Source organism: Homo sapiens, chromosome 10 (assembly GCF_000001405.40).
Source record: "Homo sapiens chromosome 10, GRCh38.p14 Primary Assembly".
Lineage (NCBI taxonomy): Eukaryota > Metazoa > Chordata > Mammalia > Primates > Hominidae > Homo > Homo sapiens.
The window spans coordinates 27,041,307-27,062,123 of record NC_000010.11 but is presented as its reverse complement, the minus strand read 5'-3'; the positions used below and the strand labels follow the sequence as shown (position 1 = coordinate 27,062,123).

At 36.1% G+C, this 20,817-nt stretch overlaps 1 protein-coding gene across 19 annotated transcripts in view, besides 1 other annotated feature; it reads left to right on the top strand.

Annotated features, from left to right (window-relative positions):
* The window catches only part of ANKRD26 (ankyrin repeat domain containing 26), a 152,913-nt gene that overhangs the window by 38,371 nt on the left and 93,725 nt on the right, over positions 1 to 20,817 (top strand). For 10 of the 19 annotated variants that reach the window (XM_047424821.1, XM_017015928.2, XM_047424822.1 and 7 more), the window contains exons 13-21: positions 882 to 980; positions 1,584 to 1,612; positions 1,707 to 1,779; positions 8,734 to 8,804; positions 9,980 to 11,065; positions 13,145 to 13,323; positions 15,601 to 15,771; positions 17,934 to 17,967; positions 18,557 to 18,698. In XM_047424821.1, the coding sequence (XP_047280777.1) occupies positions 882 to 980; positions 1,584 to 1,612; positions 1,707 to 1,779; positions 8,734 to 8,804; positions 9,980 to 11,065; positions 13,145 to 13,323; positions 15,601 to 15,771; positions 17,934 to 17,967; positions 18,557 to 18,698 (1,884 nt within the window). Of the gene's footprint in view, positions 1 to 881; positions 981 to 1,293; positions 1,307 to 1,583; positions 1,613 to 1,706; positions 1,780 to 8,733; positions 8,805 to 9,979; positions 11,066 to 13,144; positions 13,324 to 15,600; positions 15,772 to 17,933; positions 17,968 to 18,556; positions 18,699 to 20,817 lie in introns of those variants that run through there. The other 9 variants (XM_047424830.1, NM_001256053.2, XM_047424828.1 and 6 more) reach the window with 6 other exon arrangements.
* Positions 12,082 to 12,251: an enhancer, noted in NCBI's record as "experimental_11810 CRE fragment used in MPRA reporter constructs". NCBI's record gives its function as "activates a minimal promoter by MPRAs in K562 erythroleukemia cells, with activity observed for the introgressed 10:27338887 variant allele {active_cell/tissue: K562}" and the evidence as "EXISTENCE:reporter gene assay evidence [ECO:0000049][PMID:34662402]".

Sequence of the window (20,817 nt, the reverse complement as noted above, 5' to 3'; positions counted from 1 at the left end):
ACTTTTGCAAAAGAAGAGAGATCGTGAGTGGGGAAAGAGAAGAAAGAAAGAAGTTAGCTAAGTCATCTTGGAGTTAACGATGAGGAAACTTGAGAGAACTCATTTCAGATGGATTCATTGCATTTACACTCAAACAGACGATTAGATCATTTCTGCTCCAGAGATTATTGCAAGCAGGAGGGCATGCTAGAATTGGGGTAAACTACAGTGATTCATATCTCCTTTCTATAACTATCAGACATCAAAGATATATGTTGCTTTGGACTGATCTTGGTGGTTTGCCTGTCACTCAGCACTTTGGGAGGCCAAGGTGGGTGGGTTGCTGGAGCCCAGGAGTTTGAGACCAGCCTGGGCAACATGGCAAGACTGCATCTCTACAAAAACATACAAAAATTAGGCGTGGTGGTGCATGGGCCTGTAGTTCGGCTGTTCAGGAGGCTAAGGCAGGAGGATTGCTTGAGCCTGGGAGGTTGAGGCTGCAGGGAGCAATGAGCCATGATTTTGCCACTGCACTACAGTCCGGGTGACAGAGTGAGACTCTGTATCAAAAAAAAAAAAAAAAAATAGATGTTGCATTGATATTAATCAAATGAGTTTAATTTGAATATAGAAGCATTGGCTTTTTTCTTAAAGTTGCTTTTTGATAACGATAGCTGTTTCATAAAATCCTTTAGAGGATAACATTTTAGAAATGAAAAAATTACAGTTAATAATTCCTTGAATACTAAAATTGTTATTTTAAATAAACACTGCATTGATTTTAAAAAACTGCACTAATTTTGAAATATAAAATGTTATTAATATCTAATTCTGTGGCAATTAAATTTTTTCCTTTTGATAAATATTACAATATTGAAAGCTTATTATGTATTATTTCTTAGATGTGTTTTATATACCTTCTTGCATGAGTGGATCAAGAAACTTTAAGATGGCTAAACTAGAGGATACAAGAAATGTAGGCATGCCAGTAGCCCACATGGGTATGGAAAAAAAATGCGTATTTTTGTTAACTGTTATTCTACAAGTGTATATCCAAGCTGATCAATTCAGAACACTTTCTCTGATGAGAAATAAGTTATATATCCAAGTAAAGTGGCATCATAACTGTGTGCTTCCTAAATTACAGGACAAGTTGAAGAACATGATAAATACTTGTAGTATAATGGTATAAATGATTCTGATGTGTTGCATTAAAGATATGCTGTCGCATTTTACCATCAGCCTTGACATTTCTCCTCTCAGGGTCATGATTTGCTCCTCTAATTAAAGATTACTTTTCTCCACATCGACCAGCATGCTCACATTGGTATATGTGCACTTTTCTATTTTAGTTATAGTCACTTGGAACATAATCTTACATTCAAATCATAACTGCATGTTTTATTAAACCTATATTCCTGTTTTTTTCTCCAGTATACTTCTGTCATGTTGCTGTCCTAACCAAAATAAAAAACATCCCAAAAATTAACATAATCATTTTCAAACCAAGCGTGATGATTCTGGTCATACTAACACTGCATGAATTTATGATTGACTTTGTCATATTTATGTATAATTGATTATATGTCCCTTTTGGTTTTTAGAGTCTCCTGAGAGATATCTTCACTTGAAGGTAATAAGTTTTATATTTTTATCTTGAATTATTAAGTGCATATTGTATAAAGTATACATTATTTATTAATCATTTTGTTTCAAAACCCATTCAGCCTACCATTGAAATGAAAGATTCTGTTCCAAATAAAGCAGGAGGAATGAAGGATGTACAAACATCCAAAGCAGGTAAATGTTGCAATATATATTTAATCTTGGAAGGAAGTACGTTAAAATTTTTGAAATATTTGAAATGCTCACAGTTTTCTTATTCCTAATTCTTTTTTTCTCCAAATTTGTTGGAAGGATTTAAAAAAATTTTTTTTTAATTGAGACCGAGTCTTGCTCTGTCACCCAGACTAGAATGCAGTGGCGTGATCTCGGCTCACTGCAACCTCCGCCTCCCAGGTTCAAGTGATTCTCCTGCCTCAGCCTCCTGAAAAATAGCTGGGATTACAGGTGTGCATCACTACGCCTGGCAAATTTTTGTATTTTAAGTAGAGATGGGGTTTCACCATGTTGGCCAGACTGGTCTCAAACTCCTGATCTCGGGTGATCCACCCGCCTCGGCCTCCCAAAATTCTGGGATTACAGGCATGAGCCACCATGCCCGGCTTTTTGTTTTTTGTTTTTTGTTTTGATACAGAGTCTCACTCTGTTGCCCAGGCTAGAGTGCAGTGGCATGATCTCGGCTCACTGCAGCCTCCGCCTCCTGGGTTCCAGCAATTCTCCTGCCTCAAGCTCCCCGGGCACACACCACCATGCCCGGCTAATTTTTGTATTTTTTTAGAGACAGGGTTTCACCATGTTGGCCAGGCTGGTCTCGAACTCCTGATCTCAGGTGATCCGCCCGCTTTAGCCTCCCAAAGTGCTAGAATTACAGGCATGAGCCACCATGCCCGGACAGTAATTATTTTTAATTACTATTTGGTAGACATAGTCTTTTAAAACAACAATTCTGAAACTTTTTGACTTTGGGGTCCTTTTATGCTATTAAAAATTATTGCATAGAGGTAACCAACACGCTGAATTCGCTATCGTTCCCATTCCCATGCTCTTTTAAAACATTTTCCTGTGTATGTATACGTCTATAAATAATACATAGAATTTGTTTACATGTCCTAGAATTTTATATAAATGGTTGTACATTGTACATATCATTCTTCAACTTTCTTTTGTTTGCCTAGCATTATATTTTTCAGATCTACCCGTATCGACACAAGTAGCTCTGGTTTAAGTTCTTTATAGTATTCCATTTTATTACTGTACATTTAATTAAACTCTCTTCATTCGGATAAACAATAATAAACATAAAAATCAGGCCAGACATGGTGGCTCACACCTGTTAGCCCAGCACTTTGGGAGGCTGAAGCAGGTGGATCACGAGGTCAGGAGATCGAGACCATCCCGGCTAACACGGTGAAACCCCATCTTTACCAAAAATACAAAAAATTAGCCAGGCGTGGTGGCAGGCTCCCGTAGTCCCAGCTACTCAGGAGGCTGAGGCAGGAGAATGGCATGAACCCGGGAGGTGGAGTTTGCAGTGAGCCAAGATTGCACCACTGCACTCCAGTGTGGGTGACAGAGCGAGACAACGTCTGAAAAAAAAAACAAAAAAACAAAAAACAAACAAACAAAAAAACATAAAAATCACTGTGGGCTGGGCGCGGTGCCTCACGCCTATAATCCTTGCACTTTGGGAGGCTGAGGCGGGCAGATCATGAGGTCAGGAGATCGAGACCATCCTGGCCAAGATGGTGAAACCCCGTCTCTACTAAAAAAATACAAAAATTAGCTGGGCATGGTGGCACATGCCTGTAACCCCAGCTACTCAGGAGGCTGAGGCAGGAGAATTGCTTGAACCAGGGAGTTGGAGGTTGCAGTGAGCCGAGATGGCGCCACTGGACTCCAGCCTGGCGATAGAGTGAGACTGGTCTGAAAAAAAAAAAAATCATGGTGGAGTTCATTTTTGAAATGAAAATCATGCTTACCAATGAGGAGAAAAGTGATTTTTAAGTGGTTTGTAGCTGTTGATATGTATTATATTAGAAATTAAAACTGAAAAATAGAAAATACATGCATGTACAGCCACGCATTTGAATAGACTTTAGAGCTATGACCCATGAACCATTAGCTTATGATGTTACGATACATCCTAGCTTCGAAAAAGTCTACTGTACACTTCTCAGAAAATGAGAGTGAAAATGTCAAATATATTATGCATTATGTGACCTCTTGTACCCTTGAATGGATATTGGATTCTAGGGATTCTTAAATCAAAATTTAGAACCACAGTTTTAAACCATATGTATGGTTTGTAGATGTCAAATAATAAATGGTCCCTTGATGATGAAATGGCCTTTAAAGTTTCACTTCTATGGTTTTTACTTTTTTCTTTTGCTTGTCTTAAAATGTTTAAATCCAACAATTTTGTTTATAAAGAAAAAAGGAAAATATTTTTGTTATATACTCATTTCTTGTTTCATGGCACTGTGTACTCTCTGGATCAAGTGTGCACCTAGATTTATTTTCACGTGGGAACAATTAGGTCACTTAAGGCCATCATTGTTTCTTTCTTTTTTCTTTTTTTTTTTTTTTGAGATGGAGTCTCGCTCTGTCACCCGGCTGGAGTGCGGTGGCACGATCTCGGCTCACTGCAGCCTCTGCCTCCTAGGTTCAAGCGATTCTCCTGCCTCAGCCTCCTGAGTAGCTAGGGCTACAGGCGCGCGCCAACAAGGCCAGCTAATTTTTGTATTTTTAGTAGAGATGGGGTTTCACCATGTTGGCCAGGATGATCTCGATCTCTTGACCTCGTGATCCACCCATCTTGGCCTCCCAAAGTGCTGGGATTACAGGTGTGAGCCACTGTGCCTGGCCAAGGCCATCATTTTGTCTATAAATTTCTGATGTTTACCCAAGGCTTAAAAAGTAAATTCTGAACATAGTGGTACGTTGAGGAAAGAGCATTTCATTGTAATAAGTTTTTATTTAAAGTTTATTTATTAAATGTTTTTGTCTTTAGAACACACACACAAACACACACACACAATACTGTCATCCATATTTAAACCTAAAATGGTTAGACATAAAGTTTGTTCATAAAAAAATTCATATCCCTGAAGAATCTTAATTATTAATAAACAAATCTCTTATGGAAAACAAAATAGGTAACAGACATTGCTGAGTGAATCAAAGTAAATAAGTAATACTGAAAAATAAAAACAGAAAAAAATCCGAGAGATGACAGTCAGTTAAACTTCTGTGAGCAAATGGCAAGTAAAGGACATGTAAAATACAATTCACCATGGAGGAGTAGTGTGTTTGTAGCATAGAGGTTGACATGGGACTTCTTCTATGAAGAAAGTTAGTCAAACCTATATTATTTACATTCTAATAAGTGAAAACTTTATTTTCAGAGTTTTCAGATTGGGACTCTACTAGTTTGACCCTCAGTAATAAGACTTGCCAAAGACCTGGGACTTTGAAAATCAATGATAAATATCTATCTGTATCACAGTCAGTGACCAAAAATCAGTCAGCATCCGCAGAACTGGGACAAACAGCTAAAGGAAAGATTACTATTGGAGCTTAGTTTCTATTAGAGAATAATACTCTCCATGACCTTTGTGAATCACAGCTACCAGAAAACAAAAAGCAAAGAAGGTAACACAGAAGCACAGAGAATTCAGTCCTAGAGTACCTTTGCTTGGCTTCATAATATCATAGTTATGACTTTTATTTTTTATTTTATTTTTTGAGACAGAATTTTGTTCTTGCTGCCCAAGCTGGAGTGCAATGGCATGATCTCAGCTCACTACAACCTCTGCCTCCCGGGTTCAAGCGATTCTCCTTCCTCAGCCTCCCAAGTAGCTGGGATTACAGGCATGCACCATCATACCTGGCTAATTTTGTATTTTTAGTAGAGACAGGGTTTCACCATGTTGGTCAGGCTGGTCTTGAACTCCTGACCTCAGGTAATCCACCCACCTCAGCCCCCCAAATTGTGGGGATTACAGGCATGTAACCTTGCCCAGCCTAGTTATAACTTTAAAAAAAATTATTTTTGGCTGGGTCACACCTGTAATTCCAGCACTTTGGGAGGCCAAGGCGGGTGGATCATCTGAGGTCAGGAGTTCAAGACCAGCCTGGCCCACATGGTGAAACCCCATCTCTACTGAAAATACAAAAATTAGCTGGGTGTGGTGGCGGGCGCCTGTAATCCCAGCTGCTCAGGAGGCTGAGGCAGGAGAATCACTTGAACCTAGGAGGCGAAGGTTGCAGTGAGCCAAGATCACACCATTGCCCTCCAACCTGGGCGACAGAGCAAGACTCCGTCTCAAAAAAAGAAAGAAGAAAAAGAATCATTTTTAGCGAAAGTACTTTGTGTTTATTCTCCTTATGTAACCTACAACCGGACAAAATACCTTTTAGCAGGGCATTTGTAGTCTTCCTCTAACAAAAACAATCTATGAATCACAAAGAGAATTAGGAGGGACAGTAATTTTGTTTAGGCCAGTATAGAGCATAAACTTGAGAGTCAGTAGCAGGGTTATATTTAGAGTTTTGGGACTGGATGGAAAACTAGGTAGAGATCTAAAGATTGCCTACTCAAGCACAATGTGGTTTTTATGCTTTATTTTTACAGCTCTGAATTCACAAGTGTTAGTTATAACTACATGTAATGTAACAAAAAAGCACCATTCAAATCAAATATTATTTCTTATAATTTCTATGGCTTTAGATATTATAGAGTGGACTGCCCCGTATTAGTGGGAATCATTGAGAATTTGCTCTATAGTGTATCCCCAGCTGTGTACACATAGTCTGTCACCTTGTTTTAATGAATAGTTGTTCACTAGGAATATTTGTTTTAAGGAGTGCTCTATCATTTAAAAAAGATATATGAAATTCAATTTTATTAATAATTCTTTTAGGACACCCAGTCTGTTGATTAACTGCATCTAATGTGTTTTACTTTATGTACCAGTTTAACTCGGTGCCCTTAATCATGTGATCTGGTCTACAGTAATAAATCATATAATTTTTTTATCCCAATAGTTTTGTTTTCTTTTTCCCCCTTACTTGTAGAATTAATGTTGTATTTTACAGAAGATGATCAGTTATCCCCTAGAGTAGTGACTGCAAGCTATAAATCTAAAGTTACTCACCTATACATATATATGCTTGTTTGCTCTCATTTCTTCATGAGCTTAGTAGATCCAAGAAGCAGGACTTTTAAAACAAAATACCTAAATGAAATCCCTTAACACAGGAAGACATGAAACAGAAAAAGTATGAAGTAAACAACTTAAACAGTGCCTGTAGATTGTTTCACTTCTCATTTAATACCTTTTATAAGGTAATGAATAGAGTCTAGCTCTCCAGGGACCCAGATATATACATCTATTCATTTAATAAAAATTCACTCTGTATTGGGTACTGATATTCTATATCCTAAATATTTTTGGAAACATTCCCTCAGTTTAGGCCTGCATTATCCTTGTTCTGCAATATTGTCTTCTAATTAATCTCCCTTTATTTATTCATATGCCCCTGAAATTCATTCTCTCCACAGTATTTAGGGTGATCTGTCTCCAATGCAAATAGGACCTTGAGTCCCTCTTGAAAGCATAAATGTTCAAACATCTTAAGATTACATATAAGGCTTTCATCATCTGACTTCTGCCTAACTCTCCATCTTTAGCCCTTTCCCCTTTCTGCCCTTTTCTCTGGGATTACTCAACTGCTGGTGATGCTCTCTTCTCTGGTGCTTGTATTTTAGACAAATATATAACGCTATTTGAGGCTTCTTTCCCTCTCTTGTTGCTGCCTTGCATGCTGTTACCCTTTCCTGCCCTTTACCCCTTTTAGTCTGGCTAACCTCACTTTTTAAGTCTCAACTCAGGCATGATCTCTAGCAAAGCCATCTTTGACACTTTTATTTACATTCTTTTTTTGTGTGTGTGATGGAGTCTCAGTGGAGTGCAGCAGCACGATCTTGGCTCTCCGCAACCTCCGCCTCCCGGGTTCAAGTGATTTTCCTGACTCAGCCTCCCGAGTAGCTGGGATCACAGGCACACACCACCACGCCCAGCTCATTTTTATATTTTTAGTAGACAGGGCATTTCATCATGTTGGCCAGGCTGGTCTGGAACTCCTGGCCTCAAGTGATCCACCCACCTCGACCTCCCAAAGTGCTGGGATTACAGATGTGAGCCACCGTACCCGGTTTTATTTACATTCTTTAAACCTCAGTGTTTAGAACTTAGCAGGAACTCAGTAAATAATTATCGAGTAAAATAGATAAAGACTGTTTATACAAAGATAACTTGAAAGATTGTCCCCTACCGTCTGGGAGCAAGGGCATAAACATATAAATAAATAATATACAGTTCAGATGGAAAAGATACAGTACAAAGATAAGGTACTAAGGCAGCCCCAAGGAAGGAGACACCTGTTTATCTGGGGGAAGATAGCTCTAATCGAGGAAGACTTCACATAGCTGTCTTAGTCTTAAAAGATGAAAAAAAATTTGTCAAAATAGCAGAAAACATTTCAGATGTAAGGAGCGTGATGTACAATGATAAAGATGTAAAAAGTAGCAGTAATTTTGGAATTCATTAATAATGAAAAACACTCTTTGTGCCTTGTTAAAAAGATACTGTTATAGAGAACATTATACAATGTTACTTTATATATTCCTACTGTATCATAAAATTTTGTTTTGTTTCTGACAGTTTAGCTTATTTATGTTGGGTGAATGAATTTGTGAGTGAATATTTGAGATGTTTGTATGGGTTGAACCTGGTATTGTCTAGTGTTACTAGTTTCCCCAAGTGGTTTGTTGAAGTTTTAGATAATGGTTGAAATTTTAATTAGATACCTCATTAAGTTGATACTTAGAAGTATTTCTTACTGAGAAGTAAATATTCCACTAAAGATTAGGCTTCATTGAAACTTTGTGATTGCGCCACTGCACTCCAGCTAGGGCGACAGAGTAAGGCCCTGTCTCATAAACAAATAGAAGAAAACCCTCTCGATTTATAAAATAAAATAAATATTATTTTCTATTTCTGTAAAGACTATACCTTTTACCTAACTGTTCTAAGTAGTTCATTAAACTAAATATTTGGATTTTTTCAGCTGAACATGACTTAGAAGTAGCATCAGAAGAAGAGCAAGAAAGGGAAGGGAGTGAAAATAACCAGCCACAGGTATTATATATTTTTAAAAATTTCTGGTTTAATATTGTTTTCTTTGCTTTAATGATGTAACATAGTCCAAATGAAATTACTTTTCAGACTAGCCTTTTAGAATCAATAGATCATCATTTAATATTTAGTATTAAAAACGTTTTGACTAGTTAAAATGTTCTTAGAATGTGTAGTAACCTATAGCTAATCTTTTGTTTTTGTTTTTGTTTTTGTTATAGTTAATCTTTACCCTTGGAATTGAAGCCAGAAATTTCCTGAGTATTGTTTCCTCTTTCATTTTTATAACTTCCTTATATGATAAAGATGGTAACATCAAATATTGAATCATATTATTAAGCAGTAGAAATTATGAACATTTTAACACTGATGGCCACTGAGTTGGATTCATCTTAAAGGAGTAATCATTCCCAGTGGTTCAGGATTTACATTCTTATATTGCTGGTCACTGATTCCAAGGTTAAAGATTTATTCTGCCTTGTGATCCCTGTTGATTTCAGTGTCTACATTCAGGGAAAGAATGAGGTCAGAAAATCAACCCAGTTATTAAGAGAATCATTCCTTTCAGAATGGGATCTTTCCATTGTTAGGATATACACAATAACTTTCTGATTATTTCAGTCTAGGAAATCAGTAAATATTATAGAATTTTTAAATCCACTATTAATGAACCTTAGGATATTTAAGAATTAGACTTAAGTCTTATATAGTTTATACAGATGCATAACACCATATTATGGTATATAATTTCAATTAAAATGTAAGAGTTAACTTTTCTTTCTGATTGGTGTTTATTTTGGCTCCTAATAATTTAAACTTTCCCTACTCTCCAGTTAGAAATCTTTACAAAAAGTACTTAAATGCACTGTAGGGGCTCAGTATTTGAGGTATGGTAAGGTAAAATCTTTTAAAATGAGGATGCCTTTATAATGCTACAAATCATCTGCTAATTTATTTTTGGTAGATTTAACACATAATGAATTAAGTTTAATCCAAAGGAACAGTGATAAACTTAACTTTGCTGGTTCATGTTTTTCTCCTATTTTAGGCTAAGGCAAATTAGTTTTTACTTCTTAGTTACAATCCAGTGATTTGGGAGTAACTAAACATAGACTAAGTTTAACAGTTGAATTTTAATTATTTCCTAATTTTTCTTTGTCCGTACTTGATTACTCAAGGATAAAGTTATTTTAAAAACATGCACCCTGACAGAAAAGACATCTGAAAAACAAAACAAGCAAATTAATCGTCCACTTTCATGTCTGCAAAAGATGTCTCAAGAACCAGAACTGAATAAGGAGTGTGATAGAGAGGATGTATCTGTATATTCAGGACTTCCTTGTGTGCAAAATGATGAAGAAATGTGGACCAAACAAGGCAAATTAGAGTGGAAAAATAACTTAAAACTCATCACAAATGAGTTAAAGCAGAGCTGTGGTGAAACTTGTGAAAAATACAAAATTACTGCTTCTCCTGGGGAAGAGTCACTACATGATAACTCTAAAGGAGGCACAAACTTAAAGGAAATACCTTCTTCTTTGACAAATAATATACTTGATTGCGATGAAAAAGATTCTCCTGTCTCTGTACTATTCCAGGCATTGCCTGAACAAAAAGTACTCAGTCTCGAAAATGGCTTTTCATTTCCTTCATACTCTGGGTCCCCAGAATATGCTTGCCAGTCATCTTCTAAGCCTTATTTAAATGAAAATAAATTAGGCCATGAAAATGTTAACAAACCAGACACTGAACATGTTTTTAACACAGATGAGAATTTTTATAATGATACAGAAAATAAAAAAGTAAGGAACCCAGAAGTAGTTACAGGTGTAATGAAAGAAGAGTTTGATAAGACAAAAAATATGAACCGAAATACCACTAACTGGAAATTAGACATCAGACGTGTGCCTCAGTATAGTGATCCAAAAAGACCTTTTGATTTGATCTGCTCCAAAGAAATGAATCATATGTTTCACATAAAAAGGCATAGTATTTCTGCTGGTACAGACGCTTACAAGAAAACAAAACCAATACAGAACTTGTTCCAGAAGCCATTATATGATCATTGCAGTGCTAATAACTATAAAAGCATGGAACCTGAATTAGAAAATGTGAGGTCTTCTCCACCACGTGGTGACAGAACATCAAAAGTATCTCTAAAAGAAGAATTACAGCAAGATATGCAAAGGTTTAAAAATGAGATAGGCATGTTAAAAGTAGAGTTCCAGGCTTTGGAGAAAGAAAAAGTCCAACTTCAAAAAGAGGTAGAGGTTTGCTTGCTGCTACTCTTTGTTTTTTTCTCTATCAATTATTTGATCCATTCTGATTTTCTGCTTATGAAGAGCTCATGTATAAAATGGTGTTACCTAAATATGTAATTGTGTTTAGAAATAGATATTATTCTGCTATCTAAGTAACAAGAGTTAAGGAAAACATTCTCAAAATCTTTGTTCCTTAATCAACCTAAGAAGTCTATCAGTCTTCCAAGTGACATATGGACTGGGAAACTAATTTAGCCATATACCGTGTGACCTTGTGAACCAGTATAAGCATAAAGGAAATTGCCTTATGAAAGGTAATAAGTGCTAGGGTTTTTTTCCCTATTTTCTTAAAGATGAATTTCTTTTATTTAAACAACAACATGGCAATACAGTGGGAGAGAAGCAGTGACTGAGAAGAGATATAAAAATATATCTAGCCCTGAGTATTGTTAACAAATATTCCCAGCCAAAGGGATCTTTTTAATGTGCTTTCGTGTGTGTAAAGCTTATCTGTTTGACTCAAACTGTTGGAACTTATAATTCCATTCTGATCACTTTAAAGATTTTTGACAACAAATACATGTACTTTCACATATTTTTTAAAACACCAGTCAAATGTTTCTGTTGAACCAGACCTTTACATTATGTTGTTTAATAAAGTATGATAAGTTTGGGCATGTATACCCTATCAGTAGCATAAATCCTCAGCCAGAAATTTAGTATTTAACTCCAAAGTAGAAAGCTGAGTTCTGTACATTGAGTTGTAAAGATAAACAATAATCTGCAGATATTCTTCTTTTTCTTTCTTTCTTTCTTTTTTTTTTTTTTTTTTTTTTTTTTTTGAGACAGATTCTTACTCTATTGCCCAGGCTGCAGTGCAATGGCATGATCTTGGCTCACTGCAACCTCCGCCTCCCGGGTTCAAGCAATTATCCTGCCACAGCCTCCTGAGTAGCTGGGATTACAGGCGCCCACCACCACACCCGGCTAATTTTTGTATTTTAGTAGAGATGGGGTTTCACCATGTTGGCCAGGCTGGTCTTAAACTCCTGACCTCATGATCCACGCACCTCGGCCTCCCAAAGTGCTGGGATTACAGGCGTGAGCCACTGCGCCCGGCCAATATTCTTCTTTAAAAGTAAAAGCAGACGAGACTTCCCACACCCTGCTATGGCATTAAATTACTTTGCCAGTGTCACACTTAATTCATCTGATTAATTTGATGAATTTATCTGGTAATTTATCTGATTCAGCATTATGGAGTTATATCATCTCTTTTGGTGCCATAAAGTGCTAGATAATGCCACTTTAGGAGCTCTGGATGGATCATTTAATCTTTCTTGTTTTAATCTGGATGGATCATTTAATCAGTAGATAATGAGGTTAACTTAGATAATTAATACTTATACTATATATCCTCCAGCTATAAAATTTTAGTTATTGAATGTGAAATTCGGGAAGCATCTCATTCTCCAGAATTCCACACCAGCAACTCAGCAGTTTCACTCTGTTCCTTATGTTGTGGCAAACCTTGGTTTCTGTATTTCAGTGAGCACCTTCACTTTGTTGATATCCCAGGATCCAAACGAAAAAAAGAATTATAAAAGACACTGGGGAAAAGAATATCTTAGTGCAGAAAGGGGGAAGATTCCTTTCTCTTCCTGGCTGCGTAGTGTAAAATCCAGGTGGTAAAAAGGCAGAAGAAGATGCATCTTGTGTCTTTGTCTTTTTATTTCTCTGTTTCTGCCAGTAAAATGGGGTGAAAATTCATAGTAGATAGTGAAGATTGGATGGGAATAAAAGCACAAAATTAAGAAGAGCCTTTGAAATTTTGGAAAATTCTGTTTTACCCAAACAGAAATGAAGCAGACTTTACAAAAATTTCGTTGATAAAATTATAATAATAGCTGATAATTATATAACAATTATGTATACAATGATCCCATTAGAGTAAGCAGAAAATATTTTTATTGGCTAAAGTTACCATAGTTAAACTGAGTCAAATGATAAACTCAATGAAAACAAAGAAATTATTATTGAATAAAGTAATAGCAATTCCTTAGTATCAAACTTTCATTAAAGGTTGAAGAAGAAAGGAAAAAACACAGAAATAATGAAATGGAAGTATCAGCAAACATACATGATGGTGCTACTGATGATGCTGAAGATGATGATGATGATGATGGATTAATTCAAAAAAGAAAGAGTGGAGAAACTGATCATCAGCAATTTCCCAGGAAGGAAAATAAAGAGTATGCTAGGTAAGCTGATAGCATATTTAACAGCAGATAATTGTTATTGTGCTATAAAAATTCTAATTTGGACTAATATTCATGATTAATAAATTTTATACTTTTACTATGCAAGGGATATGCAACCTTGCCTTGCAATTAGAAAAATGCAAATTAGCAAACAATGAGATACCAGTTTTTTCAATCATATTGATATTTTATTTAAAAAATAATACCCAGTGATGGCAAATGTGAGAAAAAAGGCATTCTCATACACTGTTGGTAAATGAAATTGGTAAATCCTTTTTGAAGGATAATTTAGTATGTATCAAAATTTCAAATATTTCCTATCTTTAACCTAACAGCTTCACTTCTGGGACTAGATTCTACAGGAAAATATGACTTACATAAAAATGCACACACACAAGTTAAGGACATTTATTATATATTATGTGTAATACACAGTAAGCCTATGTATAATATATGTATAACATGTTAAATAATGTATGTATTTTAAGGATATTTATATAAACACATTACATATATACACATGTTGCTAAGGATATTTATTATAGTATCCCAAATGTTGGGCTCTCAAATTAATTTGAATTTTGCCAAGGGATTGCACAGAGAGATCTGTAGTACATGTAAACATTTCAGTATACTGGGTATTTTTAGGGGCTCATGCTCAACTCTTAACACAGTGGGAAATTTCAGTCTCTGTAAATTATATAGGTATATGATAGTGATATCCTTGTGCATGTTTTTAGACCGTAAAAAAGTAGTTATGGCCAGGTGCGGTGGCTCATGCCTGTAATCCCAGCACTTTGGGAGGCCGAGGCAAGTGGATCACTTGAGGTCAGAGTTCCAGATGAGCCTGGAAAACATGGTGAAACCCCATCTGTACTAAAAATACAAAATTAGGCAGGCATGGTGGCAGGCGCCTGTAAACCCAGCTACTGGGGAGGCTGAGGCAGGAGAATCACTTGAACCCGGGAGTCGGAAGTTGCAGTGAGCCGAGATTGTGCCACTGCACTCCAAACTGGGTGACAGGGCGAGACTCCATCTCCAATAATAATAATAATAATAATTATTATTATTATTATTAGTAGTAGTAGTAGTAGTAGTATTATTACAGTTTTTCTGGTGGTAAATCCAACTAGGCTAAAAGTCTATAAAAGTTACCAAATTCTTTTATTTTCTTTCTTTGAGATGGAGTTTTGCTTTTGTTGCCTAGGCTGGAGTGCAGTGGTGTGATCTCAGCTCACTGCAACCTCTGTCTCCTGGGCTCAAGCAATTCTCCTGCCTCAACTTCCCGAGTAGCTGGGATTACAGGCCCGCACCACCACACCAGGCTAATTTTTTTGTATTTCTAGTAGAGATGGGGTTTCACCATCTTGGCCAGGCTGGTCTTGAACTCCTGACCTCATGATCCACCCGCCTCAGCCTCCCAAAGTGCTGGTATTACAGGTGTGAGCCTCCGTGACCAGCCCATTATTTTATTTGCAAACAAAATCATAACTAATCAGAATATTGCTATTTTGGAACTGCATATAATGACATATAGGTATTCTAAAAGGATTTTTCCCCCACCCAGGATATTTTCCTGATTTCTTCTTCCATGTTATATGTGTATCATGCTATTTTTAAAACTTCATTTAAAATAAACTTCATTTAAATGAAACATTATGATGTTTAAAAACAAAACAAAAAATATAGCCCAAATCTAATTGCTACTTCCATGTCTAAAGACCATTGTTTGTAGGCAATGAGCTCCAGCCTTTTACTGTCACATTCAAGTTTAGTGTAGCATTCACCTGTCTCTAGTTTCTTTCTCTTTTTCTTTCAAGTTCCTAGGAAACATCTAGATGCCGTGTGCCTAATCTGTGCTCACCTTCTATTCTCTAAGTAGAATGGTTTTCTCCCATTTTTTGTCTCATGAACTCCTCTATTTTGTCTCTTCTGTTTTAAAGCTGTCCTTGTGTTCAGATATATCTTTTCATATATCAACCTTACATATCACATTTTATCATAATGGTATGATAAAATTATGGTTTTTGAAGCAGGGAATATACATTTTCTCTTATGTTGTTGGTAATTCGTGTTTTTTGAATTAGTGAATGAATTGAGATGGGGGAAATGTTGGAATTTTATAAAAAATTATTTTTATTCTTTGTTAGAATTACTAGAAAACATTGGCTTTTTAATGGATTTTTTATTCTTTCTTTTCCTTAACTCTCTTTCTGCATGTTGTTTCTTTTTTTCTTTTTTCTTATGTAACTGTCATTTCCCATGGATTTTTTAAAGTAGTGGTCCTGCCTTGCAAATGAAGGAAGTAAAGAGCACTGAAAAAGAAAAACGGACCTCGAAAGAATCTGTGAATTCACCAGTGTTTGGGAAGGCCAGTTTACTAACTGGTGGCCTGCTACAAGTGGATGATGACAGCAGTTTAAGTGAAATAGATGAGGATGAAGGAAGGTAAAATCTATGATTTCTTTATTTTTCTATGGAGGAAGGTTAGTAGTAATTTTTTTCTGAAAATAGAATGATGTAGTCTCCCAAAGCTAGAGAATATCGACTGTTTCCATGCTGCTGAAAGATTAAGATGAGGACAAGTGACTTTGACAAGCAGCCATTTCAATAAATGGTCACCATGGAGCCCTGACTATAGTGGATGGGCACAGACGGCGTTTGAGAGAACTTGGACTGAGAGGCAATAGGTAAATGGGTGGTAACTGAAGAAGAATGTGGGATTCAAGGGAGCCTTCTTTCTTTTTTATTTTAAAATGCAAGCTTTTAGAGTTTATTTGCATGCTTTTGGGAGTGACCCAGTAGAGAAGGAAATGCTTATGAAATTTAGTTTTGTTTGCATGTCAAAGCCTCAGAAAGCTTGATCCATTATCTTTTAAAGATTTATAATAAACTAATTGTCCTTAGAACTTCTATTAATGTAGTTTTTTGCTAAGAGGTTGTTCATTTGGAATTGTTTCAAAAATGGAGTATTGTAATATAATTGAATGTGTCAATGATGATCTTAAAGTTAAACTATCATATATGGATTTTAAAAAATTATCTAATAATAAACATGCAAACATATAGGCCATACTGAATTGAATTTAAACATTTCTTGATAATTGAAGATATCAGAGTACTTTTGACAGTAGCATCATGAACAGCTATGATTTTGTAAGACTAAAAGATCAGGTGTATTAACTTAATAGTTGTTTAGATTCTGGGGAGAAGGGGAGGATTTTGTTTATGTACAGTAGAAAATTAAACTATTGACAATCTATCACAGACTATTACTTTTAGATTATAAAGTTCTAAAATATTAAAAACCATGTTGCCTTATGCTAATAGTGTCATTGACATGTATGCTGAGTAAGGATTTTTTTTTTTTTTTTTTTAAGTCAGAGTCTTGTTCCGTTGCCCAGACTGGAGTGCAGTGACGTGATCTCAGCTCACTGCAACCTCCGTCTCCTGGGTTCAAGCAATTCTCATGCCTCAGCCTCCCAAGTAGCTAGAACTACAGGTGCACACCACCATGCCCGGCTATTTTTTGTATTTTTAGTAGAGACAGGGTTGCGCCATGTTGGCCAAGCTGGTCTTAAACTCCTGACCTCAAGTGATCTGCCCACCTTGGCCTCCCAAAGTGCTGAGATTACAGGCGTGAGCCAGCACGCCCAGCTTCAATAAGGATTTTTGAATGCATGAATAAAGAGTTGAGTAGATGAATGAATGAACATTGATGAATTTCTTTAGAAAAAATAAATGTTGAGCTTATTGAAAGTAGATTTCCAAATTGGCTAGATTTAAGGTCTTTTTATTTTAAAAATATTTGCAAGATTCAGAAATTATTTATAATTATAACCAGAAATAGAATGAAAATATAGATTCATCTGCTATCATATCACTTAAAAACACTTGAAAATAAATATTACTTTCACAGCACAGCAAAATATGTTTTGGAGCTAGAATTTTTGGGTTTGAATTTTGGGTCTGCTACTGACCAGCTATATGTGCTTGGGCAAGTTACTTGGTTTTCCTGTGCCTACTTTCTTCCTTTATAAAATACCTAATATGTTATCAACCTCACAGAATTATTGTTAGGATTAAAATGAGTTTAATATATGTACAGTGCTTAGGATAATGCATAGTACCTGCATTGTGAGTCCTGAAAAAAGCTAACTAATACCGTCATTCAAAAAGGGTTTCCATCATGTAAGGGTGTTAAGTAATATATTCCAAATAGGTTTTAGTGCCCGTAAAAGCTTGTTTTTATTGAAAAGGTCGACAGCAAAAAAAAAAAACCTGGTATATTTCTTTCTATTGAATAATGCAAGTAACACTATGTTTTCATTTTGCTTTGACTGTCAGGAAGCTTGATCTAAATTTGTTTGTTATGATATTGTTAGTATATTTTTCTTGTCCCTTACTTTTACTTTTTCTGTATATAGTTTAATACCCCTTGTAGAAAGTTATTATCTTTTATATTACCTGTAAAAAAGATTCCTGTAAACTTTATGAATAGGGTAAATAAATTACAAATGCAGAGCTTTTATTTAAAAAAACAATAGTTTTAGATATTCCTTGCATTTTACATGTTTACTATTTGCCTGAAAGGTATTTTTTTTTTTTAGGCCTACTAAGAAAACATCTAATGAAAAGAACAAGGTACTGTAAAAAATAAATTATCAAAATTATTGTTTAAAAAAATACATTATAAAAGATAAAGTGGGCTGGGCACAGTGGCTCACACCTGTAATCTCAGCACTTTGGAAGGCTAAAGCGGGAGGATTGCTTGACTCCAGGAATTTGAGACCAGCCTAGGCAACATGGTGGGAGCCCTGTCTCTACAAGAATTAAGAAAAAATTAACCAGGCGTGGTGAGCATGCCTGTAGTCCCAGCTACTTGGGAGGCTGAGGTGAGAGGATTGCTTGAGCCTGGGAGTTTGAAGCTTCAGAGAGCTATGGTCACGATACTGCACTCCAGCCTGGGTGATAGAGCGAGACCCGATGTCAAAAAAAAACAAAAACAAAAACATGAAATTAAAAAAAAGAGAATCTTTTGTTGTAAAGACATTTACTTTGAAAAAGTGATTAAGAAGCACTAGCTGTTGATAAATAAATCCTTTTAACAAAAATCAGTTCTTTTTAAGAAATACCTGTGTTTTTGCTCATTTAGAAAGATGGATAATTACCACTTCTGTATGTGCTATAAATATTCTGGGGACATTTTGAAACAGTGTTATTTATTTCATAGGTCAAAAACCAAATACAGTCTATGGATGATGTTGATGACTTAACTCAGTCATCTGAAACAGCCTCAGAGGATTGTGAGCTACCCCACTCTAGTTACAAGAATTTTATGTTGCTCATTGAACAACTTGGAATGGAGTGTAAAGGTAGGACCATTGCATAAATTTAAGGCCTTTTTATGTATCCCATTGTAATGTATGTAATGTAATAAATGTATGTACATTTAGCATACATTTTGCAGTGCTTCATTGGTGGCTATGATGCTGCCACTGTGCAAAGCTGAAGAGTTCTTTATATGATATATTCTTGATATTATTCCTTTATTAGCTATATTTTTTGCAGGGATTTTTTTCTCCCAGTTTGTGGCTTAACTTTTCATTCTCTTTTTTTTTTTCATTTTAATTTTTTATTTTTTTGTTGACTTTTCATTTTGTTAATGGTATCTTTTGAAGAGCAGAAGTTTTTAATTTTGATGAAGTCCAATTTATCTGTTTAATTATGGATTTTGCTTTTTGTATCGCATTTAAGAAGTCTTTGCATAACACAGGGTCACAAAGATTTCCTCTTATGCTTTTTTTCTAGAAATTTTATAGATTTAGGTCTTTTTTTTTTTTTTTTTGAGACAAAATTTCACTCTGTCAATCAGGCTGGAGTGCACTGTCACTGCAACCTCCACCTCCCGGGTTCAAGCGATTCTTGTGTCTCAGCCTCCTGAGTAGCTGATATGATAGGCGTGTGCCACCACACCCAGCTTTTTTTTTTTTTTTTTTTTTGTATTTTTTTGTTTGTTTTTTGTGTTTGTTTGTTTGTTTGTTTTTTGAGATGGAGTCTCGCTCTGTCGTCCAGGCTGGAGTGCAGTGGCGCGATCTCCGCTCACTGCAAGGTCTGCCTCCTGGGTTCACGCTATTCTCCTGCCTCAGCCTCCCAAGTAGCTGGAACTACAGGTGCCCGCCACCAAGCCTGGCAAACTTTTTGTATTTTTAGTAGAGACAGGGTTTCACCGTGTTAGCCAGGATGGTCTCAATTGCCTGACCTCCGGATCCACCCGCCTTGGCCTCCCAAAGTGCTGGGATTACAGGCGTGAGCCACCACGCCCTGCCAGCTTTTTTGTATTTTTAATAGAGGCGGGGTTTCATCATGTTGGCCAGGCTGGTCTCAAACTCCCGACCTCAAGTGATCTGCCCACCTTGGCCTCCCAGAGTGCTGGGATTTCGGGCGTGAGCCACCGTGCCCAGCCAGTTTTGCGTCTTACATTTAGGTGTGTGATCCATTTTGAGTTCATATTTTTGTATGGATTGAAGTATGGATTCAAGTTCATTTTTTTGGATATGGACATATTGTTCCAGCATCATACATCAGAAAGGCTAGCCTTTTCCCACTGCATTTGCCATTGTGCCTTTGTCAAAAATATGTTGGCTGCGTACATGTGGTTCTGCTTCTCGACTCTGTTGTGTTCCATTGATCTACAGATGCTCCTGAGTTTTATCTCAGGTTTTTGGGTTTGTTTTTTTTTTGACTTATAAGCTATGACTCTTTGTTTTGCTATCTTAGTGGTTGCTTTAGGATTTATAGTATATGACTTGAATTTATCACAGTCCACCTTCAAATAATATCATACCACATCATATATGGTATAATTTTGTTATAGTTCTGATATATGGTATAATTATAATAGTTTGCTTTCATTTTTTTCTCTCCTGGCCATATCCTTTCTGAATCTGTGGGATTATAGTTTTTATTAAGTTTAGAAAGTTTTGGCCAATTTTTCTTCACATTTTTTTTCTGTCTCTCTTCCTTCCTCTTTGGGGGCTTATATATTAGCTGCTTGGATTTTTTTCCGTAGTTCATTGATGTCTCAAAGTTATGAATCTTTTCTTTTGTGATGGTTAATCTGTGTTTATTTTCATCTAATTTAGTTTTCATCTTTGACATTGTAATTTGCATCTCTACAAGTGCAATTTGGTTTTTAAAAAATATCTTCCATGCCTCCACTTATCTTCTTGAGCTTTATTTTGAGGTACAGTTGAGTTACATATAAACAGCTTGACTTTTTCCTATATTGCTTTTATGATTTGGGCTAATTCCCCACTCCTGAGGCAATACCTTTCTGATTATTCATTGTCTTGAGAAGTATGAGTTTTTTCAGCCTGACTGTGGGAATGAACACTCTTCCTGGTGCTGTGGAAGCACCAGGCAGGATTTCCTCTCCTTTTTTTAATGGGGTTTTTTCTTTGGTTTCAGATAGTTTCCTAGCATACATGCACT